The sequence below is a fragment of the Homo sapiens genome, chromosome 11, assembly GCF_000001405.40.
Source record: "Homo sapiens chromosome 11, GRCh38.p14 Primary Assembly".
Lineage (NCBI taxonomy): Eukaryota > Metazoa > Chordata > Mammalia > Primates > Hominidae > Homo > Homo sapiens.
This window is the reverse complement of record NC_000011.10, coordinates 118,745,998-118,766,605: the sequence shown is the minus strand read 5'-3', so window position 1 is coordinate 118,766,605 and position 20,608 is coordinate 118,745,998. Positions and strand designations below refer to the sequence as shown.

Genomic DNA, 20,608 nt, shown 5'->3' with positions numbered 1-20,608 from the left:
AAAGAAGAGGAAGAGTTTAATATTTATATAATAGTATTGCTGAGGGAGAGTCTAAATCTGGGACACTATAATAGGTTCTCTTTTCATAAAGAGATTTGTACATTTGAGTTTTCATAATGTCCTGTGTAATGATTCAACTTTTTATTTTTATTTCTTAATTTTTTTGGCGGGGGAGACAGAGTCTTGCTGTGTCACCCATTCTGGAGTGTGGTGTCATGATCATAGCTTAATGCAGTCTTAATCTCCCAGGCTGATGTGATCCTCCTGCCTCAGCCTCCCCAGAAGCTGAGACTATAGGCACATGCCACCATTCCCAGCTAATTTTTTTCATTTTTTTTTTTAGTAGAGATGGGGTCTTGCTATGTTGCCCAGGCTGGTCTTAAACTCCTGAGCTCAAACGATCCTCCTGCCTCAGCCTCCAAAAGTGCTGGGATTCTAGGCATGAGTTACTCACTGTGCTGCCCAGCCCAATTTTTTAATACATCTCGGTATCTAGATTATAAGGGGCAGTGTTTCTTTTCTTTTTTTTTATTTGAGACGGAGTTTCGCTCTTGTTGCCTGGACTGGAGTGCAGTGGCACAATCTCGGCTCACCACAATCTCTGCCTCTCGGGTTCAAGCGATTCTTCTGCCTCAGCCTCCCAAGTAGCTGGGATTACAGGCATGTGCCACCCACGCCCAGCTAATTTTGTATTTTTAGTAGAGATAGGGTCAGGCTGGTCTCAAACTCCCGGCCTCAGGTGATCCACCCACCTTGGCCTCCCAAAGTGCTGGGCTTATAGGTAGGTGTGAGCCACCGTGCCTAGGCTATTTTTTTTTTCTTTCTTTCTTTTGAGACTGAGTCTCACTCTGTCGCCCAGGCTGGAGTGCAGTGGCGCGATCTTGCCTCACTGCAGCCTCTGCCTCCGGGTTCAAGTGATTCTCCTGCCTCAGCCTCCTGAGTAGGTGGGACTACAGGTGCGTGCCACCACGCCTGGATAATTTTTGTATTTTTAGTACAGATGGGGTTTCACCATGTTGGTCAGGCTGCTCTCGAACTCCTGACCTCAGGTGATCTGCCCACCTTGGCCTCCCAGAGTGCTGGGATTACAGGCGTGAGCCACTGCATCATAAGGTGCAGTTACAGGTGTGAGCCACTGCATCATAAGGCGCAGTATTTCTATAGCTTCTTAAATTTTGTAAATAATGATGTATAGCATGTTCTCCCACCTCACCCCATATTTTCTTATATATTCCTTGATACTGTTTCAGCAATGGTGATTGTTCCCACTAGAGAACTTGCTCTACAGGTCAGTCAAATTTGCATCCAGGTCAGCAAACACATGGGAGGGGCCAAAGTGATGGCAACCACAGGAGGAACCAATTTACGAGATGACATAATGAGGCTTGATGATACAGGTAAGAAATGATTACTAAAAGGTAGTGTAGCTCTCTGTTATTTTAGTCACAAGTATTTCAGTAAATTATTAAAAATTGTTTTTAAGAATTAAGGAACAGAAATACTGCAGTAAGAAAAGGAAATGACCACTGCATTCAAGCGAAAAAGACAAATTACCATAATTGAAAACGATATTTGACTTTATTAGTAATTGTAAAACAGCAAGTTTATAATAATTTTACCTGTTTAATTGGTAAAGCTAAAAGTATTAGTAGACGATAATGTGAGTTTGTGGACAAATAGGCTACATTGTAAATGTGGGGGTGTAAACTTACATCTCTATCATGGGCAATTTGGGAGTATATTTTAAAATTATAAATGTATATATAATGTGTGTGTGTGTGTGTATATTTTTTTTTTTTTTGGAGATGGAGTCTTGCTCTGTTGCCCAGGCTGGAGTGCAGAGGCGCAATCTTGACTCACTGCAATCTCCGCCTCCCAGGTTCAGGCCATTCTCCTGTCTCAGTCTCCTGAATAGCTGGGATTACAGGCTCCCGCTACCACGCCAGGCTAAATTTTTGTGTTTTTAGTAGAGACGGGGTTTCACCGTATTAGCCAGGATGGTCTCGATCTCCTGACCTCGTGATCCACCTGCCTCAGCCTCCCAAAGTGCTGGGATTACAGGCGTGAGCCACCGTGCCCGGCCATAAATGTATATTTTTAAGAATCTTTCCTGAAGAAAAAAGTTGGGTAAATGCAGGGCTGTAGGTACAAAGTTGTTTGCTATGGGGTGGTATTGTCGTGCCGAAAAATTGGCCAACTTAGAAGGAGATTGGCTAACTAAATACGTTAAGGTATAATCTGAATAGGATTCTACATAGTCATTAAAGAGTAAAGTTGACCTGTATTCATTTTCATGAAGAGGTTTCATGATACATTGCCGAGTGGAAAAAGGTAACAAAACAGCAAGAATGAGATCACTCATATAAAATTATATCTTGATTTTAGTTAGAATATTATATATGATAATTATGTGATACATTCTTTGTATTGCATAGGTTTTTAAAAAATTATCTTGTTTGATCCTTTTAACAATACTCGGCTCACTGCTCTAGATTAGAGGCATTGCTCTTATGTCAGAAGTCTGGTGTGCCTTCTGCTATTAATTGAGAATTATCCTAAGACAAGAAAGTATGCCTACTGTTGAAAGCAGCAGGTGATTTAGGAAGCTGTACCCCACCCAATGTAGAGGTGAAACAAATATTTTTTAAGCATCCTGTGGTGAAATGGAAGTCTTTATCCTAAAACACATCTTTGTGCCTTTTTGTGTTATTTCCACCTCTATAACACAATGTGTTTCTTCTCTTTCTTTCTTTTTTTTTTTTTTTTTAATTTGAGACACAGTCTTACTCTGTTGCTCTGGCTAGAGTGCAGTGGTGTGATCTCGGCTCACTGCAACGTCTGCCTCCTGGGTTCAAGCGATTCTCCTACCTCAGCCTCCTGAGTAGCTGGGATTACAGGCTCCCACCACCACACCCAGCTAATTTTTGTATTTTTAGTAGAGACAGGGTTTCACCGTGTTGGCCAGGCTGGTCTCGAACTCCTGACCTCATGTGATCCACCCACCTCGGCCTCCCAAAGTACTGGGATTACAGGGATGAGCTACTGCACCCGGCCTAGTTGTTTCTAATAAAAGATAGTCATGTGCTGCATACAATGTTGTGGTCAGTGACGGCTGCACGTATGTCGGTGTTCCCATAAGATTATAATGGAGCTATACAATGGAGTAGGCTATACCATCACATAGCAATGCATTTCTCAGAATTATCATTAAGCAGCTCAGGACTGTAATATTATAAACCTTTATCCTCTTTGCTCAAATTAAAATTAATGAGAATGTATGTTTTCTAAATCTTGCATAGTGCACGTGGTGATTGCTACCCCTGGGAGAATCCTGGATCTTATTAAGAAAGGAGTAGCAAAGGTTGATCATGTCCAGATGATAGTATTGGATGAGGTAATGTCTCTTCATTTGGCATTATACTGTTCTGTACTTTTCTGTGCTTTGCTTATAACTGCCAGTGAATGAAGCAAAAGCTGCTTGTGTTTATGATCTAATAAACACATAAACAATCAGTTTAAATTAATTTGCTTATAAAATGTGTTTTACCCGTCAGAGGGAGTAGATTATAGGCATTCATTGGAATTCAGCATTTTGTCTTTTTCTTAGAGATAGCAGACATTAGGTTTTAATTTTTTAGTAGAGGAGTGAATAACCTCAATGCCAAATTTATTCTAAGTCTCTTTCTGCTCTGTGATTAATTTTTAAAAGCATATAATATATATTGTCTCTTCTCATTTTGTGCATACTACTTTGTACTGTTTGGTTTTTAATCTCTGTTACATGTATTATCTCACCATGTTATAAATGCCTTTTAAAAACTTATTAAAATCTGTAGTCCTGGGATCTAGCCATGTTTTGTACATGTACAGATGGTCCCTGACTTAAGATGGTTCACTTTACAGTTTTTCAGTGGAAGTGATAAGCTTTCATTAGAAACTGTACTTTGAATTTTTAAGATTGATATTTTTCCTGGTTAGTAATATGCTATATGATACTCCCATGATGCTGGGCATCAGCAGCAAACTGCAGCTCCCAGTCAGCCACATGATGATTGAGGGCAGACAGCCGATACTCTACAGTATACGGCGTTGCAGGTGATTTTGCCCAACTGTAAGCTAAGGTAAGTGGAGCATGTTTAAAGGAGGCTAGGCTGAGCGATGATGTTCAGTAGGTTTGGGTAATATTTTCAACTTAGGATGAATTTATCAGAACATAATCCCATTGTAAGTCAAGGAGGATCTATAGTGATCAGCGTTGTTAATGTTTTGACATGAGGTTATTTTCACATTTGGGTTGAGGTTTATTATTATTATTATTATTTTTTTTTTTTTGAGACAGACTCACTCTGTCACCCAGACTGGAGTGCAGTGGCGTGATCTCGGCTCACTACAACCTCTGCCTCCCCGCTTCAAGTGATTCTTATGCCTCAGCCTTCTGAGTAGCTGAGATTACAATTATGTACCACCCACGCTCAGCTAATTCTTGTATTTTTAGTAGAGGCGCGGTTTTGCAATGTTGGCCAGGCTAGTCTCGAACTCCTGACCTCAGGTGATCCTACTGCCTCAGCCTCCCAAATTGCTGGGATTACAGGCATGAGCCACCACGCCCGGCCTGGTTTGTGTTTTAGGTAACATGATTTAATTCAAATCAGACTTTTATCTTTAAGTAATGAGAGAGAACATTTATTAATCACTGGGTACCAGCACTAAGTGCTTTACATGGTTTGTTTTTTTTTTTTTTTTTCCATTTAATTTTTACAAGAAACCTATAAGGTAGGTATCCTGTCAAGTAGTTACTATAGTATGTAGACATCCAACTTCTAATTTGCTTATAAAATACGTTTTATACTTCAGATGCAATAGATAGGCATTCATAGGAATTCAGCTTTTTGTCTTATAGATGCCAGAGTTTAGGTTTAATTTTTAAGAAGAGGAGTGGCTGGATAACTTGAAAGTCAAGTTTTTTCTTTTTTGTTTTGTTTTGTTTTGTTTTTGAGACAGAGTCTCGTTGCCCCGCTTGGAGTGCAGTGGTGCGATCTCAGCTCACCGCAACCTCCACCTCCCAAGTTCAAGCGATTCTCCTGCCTCAGCCCTCCCGAGTAGCTGGGATTACAGGCATGTGCCACCATGCCGGGCTAATTTTGTACTTTTAGCAGAGACAGGGTTTCTCCATGTTGGTCAGGCTGGTCTCAAACTCCCGACCTCAAGTGATCTGCCCACCTAAGCCTCCCAGAGTGCTGGGATTACAGGCGTGAGCCACCACACCTGGCCTTAGCCAAGTTTTTTCTAAATCCCGGTAAAGTAGTTACTACATTATGTAAACATCCAAATTTTAATAGTTTTACAATTTTAGAGTTGTGGAAACTGAAGTACAGAGTAGTTCTGTAACATTCCCACACAGCTGAGAAATGAAGGAGGCAAGATTTCAACCTGGCAGTTTAGCTCCAGAACCTGTACTTTTTTTTGAGACAGAGTCTTGCTCTGTTGCCCAGGCTGGAGTGCAGTGGTGCGATCTCAGCTCAACTGCAACCTCCATCTCCCAGGTTCAAGCAGTTCTTCTGCCTCAGCCTCCTGAGTAGTTGGAATTACAGGCGCTTGCCACTGTGCACAGCTAATTTTTGTATTTTTAGTAGAGACAGGGTTTCACCATATCAACCAGTCTTGTCTTGAACTCCTGACCTCAGGTGATCCGCCCGCCTGGTCCTCCCAAAGTGCTGGGATTACAGGCGTGAGCCACTGCACCCGGCCTCAGAACCCTTACTTTTTTTTTTTTTTTTTTTTTGAGACGGAGTAGTCTCGCCCTGTCGCCTAGGCTGGAGTGCAGTGGTGTGATCTTGGCTCACTGCAGCGTCCGCCTCCCAAGTTCAAGCGATTCTCCTGCCCCAGCCTCCCGAGTACCTGGGATTATAGGTGCGTACCACCACGTCCAGCTAATTTTTGTATTTTTAGTAGAGATGGGGTTTCACCATGTTGGTCAGGCTGGTCTCAAACTCTTGACCTCGTGATTCTCCCGCCTCGGCCTCCCAAAGTGCTGGGATTACAGGCGTGAGCCACCGCGCCCGGCCAGAACCCGTACTTTTAAACACTACACCATACTACCTCTTTAATGAGAATCATCACATTAAAATTCTGTTGTGGAGCTGGGCATGGAGGTATGTGCCTGTAGTCCTAGCTACTCAGTAGGCTCAGGCAAGAGGATCACTTGAGCCCAGGAAGTTCAGGCTGCAGTGAGATACGATTATGCCACTGCACTCCAGCTGGGTGACAGAGTGAAATGCTGTCTCTAAAAATAAATAAATTAATTAAATTCTGTTACAGAAAGCGGGGGAGGTTGTCTGTGTAGTGTAGAATTTTTTTTTTCCCCTAGAAGATGGGGATTATAGATTTTGCCCCCTTCTGCATATTTGACTCTCTGCAGTGTTGGAGAGAATTTATTGTTTTCCACCAGGAACATTTCATGGATGCTTTTGTTGGATGATGCCTTATTCTTTGACCATGTATTAACCAAGACCTTAGACATTATTTTATTGTTTTTAAAATTGTCTTTTCTTTCTACTGCAGGCAGATAAGTTGCTGTCACAGGATTTTGTGCAGATAATGGAGGATATTATTCTCACGCTACCTAAAAACAGGCAGATTTTACTATATTCCGCTACTTTCCCTCTTAGTGTACAGAAGTTCATGGTGAGTATAAATCTGTACTTGGAATCAGTGCCATCCTGTGACCTTTGAGTATGCTTTTATTTGTAATTACATCTTCATATCTGTGAATATACTTTATGCTAATTATTTCAAGCCTTTGGCTCTTTCTTCAGTTGATCAATTAAAGATTTGTTTTACGTAAATTAACTGACTTTTTAAGAAGGTTGTAATAGTAACTTAATTAAATTCCTCATCTTTCACTTAGTTTTTGGTGTCATGATGACATAGCCATTGGTGCTAGCTGAATTGATTCCGGTATTATTCTATATACAAAACAGAGCTTGAGTATCCTAAACTGAAATCCAAAATACTGCAGAATTTGAAACCTTTTGAGCCACGAACATGATGCTAAAAGGAAATGTTCTTTGGATTTTGAATTTTCAAATTAAGGATGCTCAGTCACTAAGTGTAATGCACATATTCCAAAATTAGAAAAAATTTAAAACCTGAAACACTTCTGTTCCTAAGCATTTTGGGTAAGGAATACTCAACCTGTAGTAACTTAGCTGCATTTTTGAGATCTTATATCTTAATTTATTTCTATCGGGTCGGGCATGGTGGCTCATGCCTGTAATCCCAGCACTTTGGGGGGCCGAGGCGGGCAGATCACAAGGTCAGGAGTTCGAGACCAGCCTGGGCAACATGGTGAAACCCCGTCTCTACTAAAAATACAAAAATTAGTCTGTTATGGCAGTGCATGCCTGCATTCCCAGCTACTCGGGAGGCCGAGGCAGGAGAATCACTTGAACCCGGGAGGTGGAGGTTGCAGGGAGCAGAGATCGTGCCACTACACTCCAGCCTGGGTGACAGAGCAAGATTTTGTCTCAGGGTGGCAGGGGGGAAATTCTGTAATGACAGATCATATATTTTGTTTTGAAGAGAGTTGCGTCCCTTACAGCAAGAGTTTATCGGACAGAAACGTATAGGGTATATTTTGAATTTGAGATGAACTCTGCTTTCATTTAAGACGACGACTCATCTTTTTCCCGCTCCCCCCCCAGAATTCCCATTTGCAGAAACCCTATGAGATTAACCTGATGGAGGAACTAACTCTGAAGGGAGTAACCCAGTACTACGCATATGTAACTGAGCGCCAAAAAGTACACTGCCTCAACACACTTTTCTCCAGGGTAAGAAGTAGGCTTCTGCTGTTGAATATTATCTCTCGAGTCCCAGTAAAACAGATGATTTCATCAATTTTCCCACCGTCTTCACTGTATAAAAGTTCGTAGTGTTTCTGGCTTGGCACGGTGGCTCATGCCTCCCAGCACTTTGGAGGCTGAGGCAGGCAGATCACGAGGTCAGGAGTTTGAGACCAGCCTGGCCAACATGGTGAAACCCCATCTCTACTACAAAATACAAAAAAATTGGGCATGGTGGCGTGTGCCCATAATCCCAGCTACTTGGGAGGCCGAGGCAGGAGAATTGCTTGAACCCAGGAGGCGGAGGCTGCAGTGAGCTGAGATTGCACCATTGCACTCCAGCTCTGGGCGACAGAGCAAGACTCCGTCTTGGGAAGAAAAAAAAAAAGATTAAAAAATAATTCATAGTGTTTCCTAAAAGGCAGGTTTAGTTGTTGACCTAAAGTTGATACTAAATGATTAACCAAGTCACAGATACACTTTTGAATAGTTTCTGAAATACTTTGACCTTAACTAGGGTTAATCCTCATTATTCACATATTCTGTATTTGTGAATTTGCTTAGTCACTAGAATTTATTTGTAACTCCGGAATTAATACTCAAGGTAGTTCAGCAGTCATTTGTGGACGTGTACAGTGTGGCAAAGAGTTTAAGTCACCTGACATGCACATTCCCAGCTGAGGTCGAAGAAAGCAATCTCTGTCCTCTTGTTTAGCTCTCATACTGTGAACAAGGGTCCTTTTCACAGTCTGCCATGTTTTTCAAGTTTTTGTTGCTGATTTCACAGTTTTAATTGGCCCCTACACATGGTGCTGAAGTGCTGCCCAATGCTGGTGGCATTGGTTGTGAGTATATTAAAGAAGGTATTCTTGGCTGGGCACAGTAGCTCATACCTGTAATCCCAGCACTTTGGGAAGCCGAAGTGGGCAGATCACCTGAGGTCAAGAGTTCAAGACCAGCCTGACCAACAGGCTGAAACCCTGTCTCTACTAAAAATACAAAAGTTAGCCAGGCATTGTGGTGGGTGCCTGTAATCCCAGCTACTCAAGAGGCTGAGGCTGGAGAATTGTTTGAACCCAGGAGGCAGCTGTTGCAGTGAGCTGAGATTGCACCATTGCACTCCAGCCTGGACAACAAGAGTGAAACTCCATTTCACAAAAAAAAAATAAAATAAAATATTTTTAAATGGAAACACATAAAACATAACTACTTTGAATCAGATAATCAATTGTATTACTCTTGTTGACAGTTATGTGGCCCTTAAGAAATATACTCTAATACGGTAAATCTTAGATATTATTATCTTCCATCTATTATTTACAATTTTTACAATTTACCATCTCTCTCATATCATGAGATTCTAAGTTTTAGACCATGTTAATGTTTCTTTTTTGCTGGTTCGTGTTTTCAAGATTTGGCAAACCAAATGAAGGTTTTTTTTATTTTTCTCATACTTATTTTTTTCTGTGCTCAGCTTCAGATAAACCAGTCGATCATTTTCTGTAACTCCTCTCAGCGAGTTGAATTGCTAGCCAAGAAGATTTCTCAACTGGGTTATTCTTGCTTCTATATTCATGCTAAAATGAGGCAGGTGAGTATAAAACTAGAACTTGCACAAATTTAATAAGAAATCTCTTTCTTTATTTTGTTTTAATGTTCTTTTAAATGTCCTGAGTTTAAGAATAAACTGTTCCTTAGTAGCCAAAGGACCTTTCATTTTGACCTCCCTCAGGTTCAATTTTCTAGCAATAAAATAGGGATAATAGTACATATTCATAACTTACAAGGTTGTTAGGAAAATTAAGATAAATGTTTAAATGAGTACTTTGGAAGCTGTCAGGCATGATACAAATGTAAAATTTTATTCTTCCCTTCCTTTCCATGTTTAATTCTCTGTTTAATACAGTAAATAGCCACATGTGGCAATTTAAATCAGTTAAAATTAAAATAAAAAGTCAGTTTCTCAATCACAGCCACATTTCAAGTGCTCAGTTAGGCACCTGTTGCTACTGGATAGTGTATTGGAATTGGAAGTACAGACACAAATATTTCCTTTATTATAGAAGTTTTACTGGACAGCACTGCTCTGGATTTTTAAATATGGCCCCTCAGCTGGCTGATTTTTCTTTTTTTCTTTACTGTTTGCCTTTAGAAAAAGATACAATATCTAAATTTCAGAATTTGATTTAGCAAAAAATAATTTAAAACTGTAACAAAAATGACTTTTTTGTTAACTACATTATGAAATTTCGTAAGTAAACAGTTTCTGTAGACGAAGATATCAAGAACTTAACTCATTTGGTTTTGAAAGCAGCTTAATATCATGGATCACTTATAAACAGATTTTGGGTAGAACTGATCGTCTGGGAGAAATAATTATGGGAAATTTGGGGCTGTATATGAGTGTTAATCAAATGGAATACATTGCTTTCTCCTAGGAACATCGAAATCGTGTATTTCATGATTTCCGAAATGGCTTATGCCGCAATCTTGTTTGCACTGGTAAGTATTTTTGTATTTCCTTTACCCAGTGTTTTTCTCCCAAGTTGTTTTTTGCTTTCTCTGTTCATATTACATAGTGCAACCTGTGACATAGTCCGACACACCCTACCACTACTTCTAGGATTTCTGAAGTTGAAAATGAACTCTTGTCAGCTCCTGATACTGGGTTCCATATCTGAAACTTTAGAAGACTTACTCTGGCACTCATACCTCATCTCTGTCTTTTTTTTGGGGGGGGGGGGGAGGGGGATGGAATCTTTGTCACCCAGGCTGGAGTGCAGTGGTGCGATCTTGGCTCTCTGAAACCTCCACCTCCTGGGTTCAAGTGATTCTCCTGCCTCAGCCTCCCAAGTAGCTGGGATTGTGGGCGCCTGCTACCGCTTAGCCCGGCTAATTTTTGTATTTTTGGTAGAGACAGGGATTTCACCATGTTGGCCAGGCTGGTCTCGAACTCCTGACCTCAGGTGATCTTCCTGCTTTGGTCTCCCAAAGTGCTGGGATTACAGGCTTGAGTGCACCCAGCCTCTTTTAGACACATTTTTTAAAACTTGCTTACAATTACTGGAAAAAAGTAACTTGGGAGCAGAAAGTTATTTATGATAATGTGATTATGAAAGGTAATGCCAGTAATGTGCAAATGCATTTGAATAACTGAATTAAATTAATAAACTTAGGTTATGCTAGAAATATGTGTTAGTATTGTACTGAGAGACATTTCTAAATTGAAAAAATGAAAATTATCTTTTTTTTTTTAAGATCTGTTTACCCGAGGTATTGATATACAAGCTGTGAATGTGGTAATAAACTTTGATTTCCCAAAGCTGGCAGAGACCTATCTCCATCGTATTGGAAGATCAGGTGAGGAAAAAAGAGGTGATATTCTTGGTAGAAGTTCTTTTTTGAGGCGTGTAATGACTAAATTTTGTTCTTTTGTGAAATAGAGTACAGTAGCTATGAGAACAGTGAATTAACAGTAATTCAGTTGTTTGGTATTTAAGACTAATTTCTAATTCTTCTGTAGCATTTATTAAGAAAAGTTAAAATAACTGCTTAATTTGAGATGAAATTAACACATGAGAACTTCACTCATTAGGTGGTATGTTCTGTGACTGTTGTTTAATGTGTATTTTATGGCAGTTTTGACTGCCATTTTGTCATTTGAGAAAGGTGAAATGAAGTACTATTTTGGGCTGCGAAACCTGAAGTTGTAGGGAAACCTGTGTTTGAAGACCATTAAGAAGTTGTTTTGCATACTAAGAATGGCACTGAACATCATTATCAATCCTGTGTGGTTTTGCCACTGCTTGACTTGCACAATTCACATTGATTTTCATATTTTATTCATTAAAATTTTTAAACGCATGTTTTTTAGGTCGCTTTGGTCATCTTGGCTTAGCCATCAACTTGATCACATATGATGATCGCTTCAACCTGAAAAGTATTGAGGAGCAGCTGGGAACAGAAATTAAACCTATTCCGAGCAACATTGATAAGAGCCTGTATGTGGCAGAATACCACAGCGAGCCTGTAGAAGATGAGAAACCTTAACAAGCATGTACGTCCCTGACAGAACAGCTAAGAGGAACCTTTAAATGAGGGAAATCAAAATCTTCTTTCCTGGGGGAAATTTGATGTCACACCATATATAATAGCAATAAAGGGTAAAATACCCACTAGCATAAATGACAGTAAATAATATCTCTTGTGGGAGGTTGTAGTCTCATTCGAGAATCTGTAAATGTTGTTCTTGAATGCAGCTTCCCGGGTAATGTGGTAGATTAGCAGTACTTAAATTCAGAGTCCTAAAATAATGAAAGCAAAAAAGAATGTTTTTCAGCAATTTGTTTTTCTTTTTGAGACAAGGTCTCACTGTCATCCAGGCTGGAGTGCAGTGGTGCAATCATAGCTCACTGCAGCCTGGTTCTCCTGGGCTCCTGAGTAGCTGGAACTGTAGGCACATGCCACCACGCCTGCCTAATGTTTTAAATTTTTGGTAGAAACAAGGTCTTGCTTTGTTGCCTAGGCTGGTCCAGAACTCCTGAACTCCAGCAGTCCTCCTGCCTTGGCTTCCCAAAGTGTTAGGATTATAGGCGCAAGCCACTGTGCCACTGTGCCTGGCCTTTTTTGACAGTTTTGTAGGGGGGATTTTTGTTGTTTTTGTTTTTTGAGAGTCTTGCTCTGTTGCCCAGGCTGGAGTACAGTGGCACAATCACGGCCCACTGCAACCTCTGCCTCCCAGGTTCAAGCGATTCTGGTGCACCTCAGCCTCCCAAGTAGCTGGAATTACAGGCATGCTCCACCATGCCCAGCTAATTTTTGTATTTTTTAGTAGAGTTGGAGTTTCACCATGTTGGCCAGGTTGGTCTTGAACTCCTGACCTCAAGTGATCTACCCGCCTCAGCCTCCTAAAGGGAGGCTGGGATTACAGGTGTGAGCCACCACACTGCCAGCAGTTTTGAATATGAAAGTATTTACATTTCTGAAAATGTAAAATGTTTTTAGCATTTACTCTTAATTTCTAGTAAGTACATTAATCACTCTGATAAAACTATCCATAATACCTTATTAGCAAATGTTTAATCAGATTATGAGGATGGCCATCTTTTTAAAATACCCACTCTGGGCCGGGTGCGGTGGCTCACACCTGTAATCCCAGTACTTTGGGAGGCCGAGGTGGGCGGATCACGAGGTCAAGAGATCGAGACCATCCTGGCCAACATGGTGAAACCCTGTCTCTACTAAAAATACAAAAATTAGCCGGGCATGGTGACACGCACCTGTAGTCCCAGCTACTCGGGAGGCTGAGGCAGGCGAATCACTTGAACCTGGGAGGTGGAGGTTACAGTGAGCTGAGACCGCACCACTGCACTCCAGCCTGGGTGACAAAGCTAGACTCCATCTCAAAAAAAAAAAAAAAAAAAAAGCCACTTGGGCTGGCTCAGTGGCTCACACCTGTAATCCCAGCACTTTGGGAGGCCGAGGTGGGTGGATTACCTGAGGTCAGGACTTCAAGACCAGCCTGGCCAACCTGGTGAGACCCCGTGTCCACTAAAGATACAGAAAATTAGCCAGGCATGGTGGCGGGCGCCTGTAATCCCAGCTAGTCAGGAGGCTGAGGCAGGAGAATCTCTTGAACCTGGGAGGCAGAGGTTGCAGTGAGCCGAGGTCATGCCATTGCACTCGAGCCTGGGCGATAAGAGTGAAACTCTGCCTCATATATAAATAACCCACTCTGATTTCCTAGGTAATAAGAGTGAAACTCCGTCAAATACATAAATAAAATACCCACTCTGATTTCCTGGACAACCTGTCTTCCCATCTTTTTTTTATTTTTATTAAGATGGGATCTCACTATGTTGCCCCGGCTGGTTTCAAACTCCTGGGTTCAAATGATCCTCCCACTTTGGCTTCCCAGAGTGCTGGGATTATAGGTGTGAGCCACCACGCCCTGCCTCTATCATCTTTTGGTGACTATTGGGCTCTAGTTAGAAATGCATGAAACAAGGCTCAGCTTTAAGCAAGGTAGGTTGTTTCAGTATTTCCTAAAGAAAATCTGATTTGACAAAGGATAGTTTCCAAGTTATAGGTGAACATCTTACCTATTTAAGTAACCTAATGTTACTTAAATTTTTTTTCTCTTTCTTTTTTAAATAGAGACGAGGATTTACCATGTTGGCCAGGCTGGTCTCAAACTCCTGACCTCAGGTGATCCGCCCACCTCAGCCTCCCAGAGTGCTGAGATTACTGGCAGGAGCCACCTCACCCAACCAATTGTTACTTAAATAATTTTTAAATTACTCTGTACTCTTTTTTTCCTTAAGTTAAACATCAAACACAAACTCTTGGACAAGCATGAAACTAGCCAATGTTTGCTAGTACTTTGGCAGAGTATTCAGTTTGTGTAAGGTTAATTTTTTTCCCCCGGATTTGTTACGAGTGAGGGCTGCCTGCTATCAGAACATTCACATTCATTCAGGCCCCCAATCTATCTCAGGGTTGCCTACCAGAAATTATTTAATCCTATAACCAGTAGATTCTATAGTAGGCACAGGGTTAGTAGAAACTACTAGAAAAGAGCATTTGGGATGAGGATTGTGAAAACCTATGTATCCTAGTTTGTGTTGCTTTCAGAATGTTAATTTTGTATTCTCTTCTTCTGTAGGCTTTGACAAATTACAAAAGGCTCGTTTGGATCTGTGACACATCGTTTTGGGGGGAATGCTCCTCTCTTTGTGGGTTTTTCATCTTTTATTTTGGAACTATGAAGACTTAAAAGAGCTCAGACATTTTCTTTTTTTAACTGGTGAAGAGAAAAAGGCTGAAAAGAAGGAATATACCTTTTTTGTTCCACTTGTTTGCACTGTGTGCTGACTGAACATTAGTTGCACTAACTGCTGGTTTTTAAAAAATGTTTTCTGGGGAAAGGGGACAAGGAAGGAAAAGAAAGAAGAGAAGGGGAGAAACCCTAAAAAGAGAAGAATCTTAATGAACACACAAGCTTGTCAATGATTTCAAAATTCTCCAACAGCTGACTCTCGTGCATTTCAACTTCTCCCTGATTCCTCATCCGTTTTTTAAGCCTGAAGAGCTTATTACTTATTTGTGCGAAGTGCCTTATGCTATGAGACCATTCAGAATATCATCTTTTAGACACAGCCCGAGGAATCAACAATAGTAACTCTTTCTTTCCGTTTTTTTTTCTTTTTCTTTTAAAAAATGTCTTCTTATTTTGGTTTCAGGTTGAAGTCTCTTCCCTTTCTACCCAGTACTCGAGCCCAGGGCTAGAAGTTGAAACTCACTAGTAATGTTAAACACCATTTTTTTTTTCTTTTTGGGGAGGAGTTGATATGCAACTGCAGTTCATCCGCACTGTAAATACATGTATTTAAAAAAACAATCCCAAGTAAAAATTTCTTCTGGGCTGAGTAGATAAAAAACATCATCGCTCCCAAAGGAAAGAGCAGTCTATCATTGCAGGAGCCATATGACAAGCCTTTGTGCTCTATAGCAGACACTAAAGACTGGGTTACATATGCCTCCAGTAGTAGTATGGCACTTGATGTGTAGACATGTCAGAGCCTTGGCCCTCTTTCCTCTGTGGCAAAGCGTGTCCCATAGAAAATTGGGTGTGTATACTTGTATAACTTTGTAAATAAGTTTTTTTTCTGGGTTCATATATATATATATATATACATATATATATATTTTTTTTTGGATGAAGGTTGCTGGGATTAAGGGGATTAGAGTGATTATGGGAGCAGCTAAAGATGAGAGGGGCTCAGTTTTACGCAACACTAAATTCTAGAAAGTACTTTGGCCTCGTGCTGTAGAGAGCAGATTTCTATGGTACCCTGTGTTAGTAAAGGGGCCCAGAAATCTGGGATGTACTGTTTGCTGCCACACTGTCTCATCTAGTACCTTTGGAGTAGGTTTACCAGAGAGAGCAAGGAAGCTTCAAAACATTGATAATTCAACATTTATTTTGAGAAGCTCTGATTTTGCTTCTTCCCCCTTTCTAAAAGTTTGAGGAATATTTCAAGCTCTGCAACAGGGGGCAAAGATTAATCTACCTTGCAGTGTAGGAATTCTATTGAGTGGCAGTGTCATTGAGCAGTATATATATAAAGCACAGATTTGCATTTCAGAATATTAGCCAGTACCAGCTTTGGTAATGTTAGCAGTTCTGGAGCTTAATTTTCTGTGGATCATTTCCTGTAGTGTGTAAATGTGTTGCCCTCTGCCCGCTTTGATACATAAACTTTTGCAGGAATGGGCAACCTGAGAGCTGTTAACTTTCATGCTACAGAAAGCTGCTTGCCATTCTCTTGCATTGTGACAAGAATTGTTACCTGTCATTTTGCACTGTAAATTGCTGGCAGATGCTTTACAGTCAATAGTGTTGCTTTAAATTGTGCCCCTCCCAACATGCTTGATGTTTGGCCTGATCTCCAGGCAAAAGGAGTGAGATGAATCAAAACCAGTGAACTTTTTTTTTTAATGTTTTTAATTCCCTTTTAACCCAGTGTACTAGGTCAATCAGGAGGCATCTGGAAAGGGGGGGAAAAAAGCAAAAAACAAAATTAAAAAAAATTGATTTCCATATTTTATTTTTCAAAACCCTAAAATATTACAAAATAAGTCCCGCATATACTTTAATGTTTTAACTCTTTTGGACAAAGGAATCAATTACTTGAAGTTGCTTTTTTGACTCTGCCTACTTCTGAGCAAACTATTTGCGACTCACCCACAATTCCTTGGAGATCAAAATCCTACAGATGCCTCCTGATGGGACATAGCCCTAACTCCTTAACAACTGTAGCAAGAACTGCACGGTACAAACCCAAAAAAGAACAAGCTCATCTATTTGGAACCCAAGCCTCATATTTTCTGTCCAGTCAATGTTGGTTACTAAATAGAAAACCTAATTAAGGAAGTAACTTTTTTCCAGGGAGGGGTGGGAGAGGGAATTTAAAAGGTGTCAACTTTTGACCAAAAAAATTGTGCCCTTGTACCGATGCAGCTCTCTTTCTCCCCCACCTCTTGCGAGATAAGAGGGATCATTCATGTAGAAGAAAAGAGTATAAATGCAATTCTGTATCTCGCTAGAGAACGTGTGGGTGACTAAACAAAAAGTGCAGTCTCCTTCACCAACTTTAGACTGCGTGGTGCCACATGCCTGTGGGTCCCTCTTAAAGCACAGACTTAAAATGGAAAGTATTACTGAAGTATAGCCTCTAATGAGGAGTGGCACTTAAACTATCTGGGACACCACTACTGGACACGGTCTTGTAGAGGCAGCTGTCCAGTTTTGGTGCTTGACTCTTGAATAGGAATTGTTAAATGGAAAGATGCTCTGAGGACTAGGTCAAAGCCTGGTCTTTTTTTTTTTTTTTTTTTTTTTCTTTCTTTTTTGGGCCCTCATAATAAGCATTGTTACTATTGGAAGTTGTTTTCACATTCTTTCCAATATTAAATATGTATTTTTTTAAGTAATGATAATATTTTCCAGTGGCTCATTTGGATGAGAACTACCCTCTATTTTTAATATTAAAACTACATCCAACTCATCATTTAGCCTTTGGTTGTACAGTTGTGTAATGGGCTATGGACTGTTACACACCTTACCACCTCTAGGCCTATGTTTTTTCTTTCCCCATATATTCTGATGGGGATAAATACTGTTTTGCCTCTCCCATAGGAATGGAATACATTTATTCTAAAATGATCTTTCACAGAAGTAAGAGAGAGGGAAACCTAAATATACCTCTAAATTGTTTGAAGTTGGTCCCAGCAGCATAAAATGGGTTGGCCCCAAAGGGTTGGAGGGTGGGCTTGGTTATCAGTATTTGTTTTCAGAATGAGATGGGAGCATCTTTCCTTTGCCACGTGCTTTGTGCTTGATAACATCATGCTTGGTTCAAACGACAACTCAGCACAAAGCCTTGAGTATAAATTGTTGGAATCAAAACATCTCATTCTGATGACGTGGTTTAATTTTTTAATTTTTTTTTTTAATAGGGGTGGGAGGGAGGGTACTTTGCCCCAGAAGGGAGGGTGTCTGCACTAAGGATTTAGAAACACTTTGGAAGCTCATAACCTCATCAGAAACTGCCTTTAGCCACACTCCTGACCTTCTAGATGAGTAACAAAAAAATGAAATAAGTTCTTGGAAATTAAGCCATTTATTTTAATTTGCTATTTTTTTCAATGTTCTAGGTATCTTTAAATTTGTTATTGTGGAATCATTTTCCTGCCAGATACCTTTATCAAAATTATTGGCCTCATGAGAGCTGAAGTAAGTCAGCTTTTTGGTGAACTTTAGTGGACTTCTGTGAGATTGTAGTTGTACTTTGTATCTCTAAATCTAAAGATAGTTTTTTAAAACTCCCAAAGAAAATCTGCTCTCCTTTCTGATCTAAAAACTCATCTTTGGGGTAAAGAGTTAAGTGTCCAAAGGTTGTCACAGTTCATGAGGTCAGAGGGAGCTAGCCTGGCACCTGGACTCTGCCCATCCACAGCTGACAGATTCCAACAGAAGTGTATTTAAATTCTCCAGTAGACAATGCTGGGTAAGGGAGGGGGTAGGGCTGGGTTATTAAGATACAGGCTGCTGTATTTTACATTGGTTGTGTGGGAAGGGGAGCCTGGAGAAAACAAAGTCACTATTCCCTTTTTTGAAACAGGAAAAAAAATTATTTTTTGTTCAGTAAAAATGGTAGAGAATTCCAATGTCCCTAGCCACAAGGGACCAGTTCCACTGAGAAGTGAACAGTGGGAACTCAAAATTTCAGAAACATTGGGGGAAGGGAAAATTGGCTTTCTCTTAATTGGCAGATGTTCCAGTGGGGGGGGGGGGGGCTCTGTTTTTGTTGGGATGTGTTATGTTGTATGTACGCATATATGGACCGGAGTCTGCTGAGTTTATAAGGTTCCAAAAATATGGTAAAATCTTGGTTTTTGTTAATTTATCTCAATAAAAGCCCACTGGAACTCCAAATGTGTGTGTGGTATGTCCTTAGTAGCAGCTGTGTGCATAGGAATCTGAGCATTTTGCTCAGGTAATTCATACTGTGAAACAGACATTTCTCAACCCATCATTCCTGTGAAGCCCAGTTGAATTCAGAGCCCCTTCATCTGTTGTAGATACTGTTCCACCATGCTGTCAGATTTCACAGCCTAAATGGAGAACCAAGATAATCGGTTGGGAAGAGGGGAGATGTGGTCCATAATATGTCCAAATACATCAGTAATTACCACCTCCTACAATTGTTCTCAAATGTAAAGCTGAACATACCCCCAAAACCAAGGCATACTACATCTTAACAGTATGAATGGAATTCATATGCTGAGAACTACAAACCACTGATGAAATAAAAGATTGGGAAATAAAAGTTGGGAAAAGCAGACACTTAAAGTTGAGCACATCACTCTCACTACCTCTCTACCCAAAGAAATGCTTAAGTATAACTAAGAAAATAGAGTCAGTCCCCTGTATCTGGGTTTTACGTCTGCACATTTAGTCAACTGCAGACCAAAAGTGTTAGGCCTACAATGGTTGGGTCTGTACTGAGTATGTACAGATTTTTCTTGTTCTCTGAACTACAGTATAACAACTATCTACGTAGCACTTATTGCACTAGATACGAGTAATCTGGAAATGACAAAGTGTGCAAGATGATGTCCAGAGATTATACGCAAACACTACATCATTTTATATAAGGGACTTGAGCATCTGAGGGTTTGGGTATTTGCAAGGGAGGGTGGAATCCTGGAACCAACCCCCATGGATACCAAGGGGCAAACAACTGCAATACCTATATGCTGGAGCTACAAAATAAACTGACAGAAAAATCAGACCTAGATAAATGGAGATGCCATGGTTCATGGACTGGAAGAATAAATCTTGAGTTTCACCAATTTGGTCCAGAGGGTCAATGCATTTCCAGTCAATCCCAATAGGCTTTTTTGTAAATACCCACAAGCTGATTCTATAAAATAACGTGGAATGCTGGGTGTGTTGGCATTCACCTATAGTCCCAGCTATTCAGGAGGATAAAATGGGAACATCAGTGGAGCCCAGGGGTTCCAGGCCAGCCTGGGCAACATAGACCTCTCTAAAGTAGTAAAATTTATATGGGAAGGCAAATTATGCTGTAACAATTCTGTAATAGGAAGAAATTGGAGGAGTCACTACCTGATTTGGACTCAATATAAAGATGCAGTAACGTATTAGCAAAAGGATAGACATGTATTGATGGAACAGAATAGCCGAAAAATAGACCCACACAAATATAGTTGATTTTTGACAGTGCAAAGGCCATTCAATGAAGAAAATAGAGTCTTCAATAAGTGATATTGAATATGTTGCAAAAAATCTTTCACCCATTCCTTGTGCCTTCTATAAAAACTCAAAATGGATCATACGGCCAGGCACAGTGGCTCAGGCCTGTAATCCCAATACTTTGGGAGGCTAAGGCAGGCAGATAACTTGAGGCCAAGAGTTCAAGACCAACCTGGCCAACATCACAAAACACCACCTCTACTGAATATATAAAAATTAGCTGGGCGTGGTGGTGCATGCCTGTAGTCCCAGCTACTTAGGAGGCTAAGGCACAAGAATTGCTTGAACCCGGGAGAGGGCGGTTGCAATGAGCCAAGATTGCGCCACTGCACTCCAGCCTGGGTGACAGAGCAAGACCCTATCTCAAAAAACAAAAGAAATGGATCATAGACCTAAAAGTAGAACATGAAACTATAATTTC

General features: G+C 40.5%; 1 protein-coding gene across 13 annotated transcripts in view; it reads left to right on the top strand.

The window, feature by feature from the left end:
• The window catches only part of DDX6 (DEAD-box helicase 6), a 43,982-nt gene extending 25,139 nt beyond the window's left edge, over positions 1–18,843 (top strand). For 7 of the 13 annotated variants that reach the window (NM_001425146.1, NM_001425154.1, NM_001425147.1 and 4 more), the window contains 9 exons: positions 1,251–1,397; positions 3,300–3,394; positions 6,562–6,684; positions 7,704–7,832; positions 9,319–9,435; positions 10,283–10,346; positions 11,103–11,204; positions 11,719–11,901; positions 14,509–18,843. In NM_001425146.1, the coding sequence (NP_001412075.1) occupies positions 1,251–1,397; positions 3,300–3,394; positions 6,562–6,684; positions 7,704–7,832; positions 9,319–9,435; positions 10,283–10,346; positions 11,103–11,204; positions 11,719–11,894 (953 nt within the window). In that variant the 3' untranslated portion in view covers positions 11,895–11,901; positions 14,509–18,843. The remainder of the gene's footprint in view (positions 1–1,250; positions 1,398–3,299; positions 3,395–6,561; positions 6,685–7,703; positions 7,833–9,318; positions 9,436–10,282; positions 10,347–11,102; positions 11,205–11,718; positions 11,902–14,508) is intronic. The other 6 variants (NM_001425152.1, NM_001425151.1, XM_047426488.1 and 3 more) reach the window with 3 other exon arrangements.
• Positions 18,844–20,608: the final 1,765 nt, after the last annotated feature.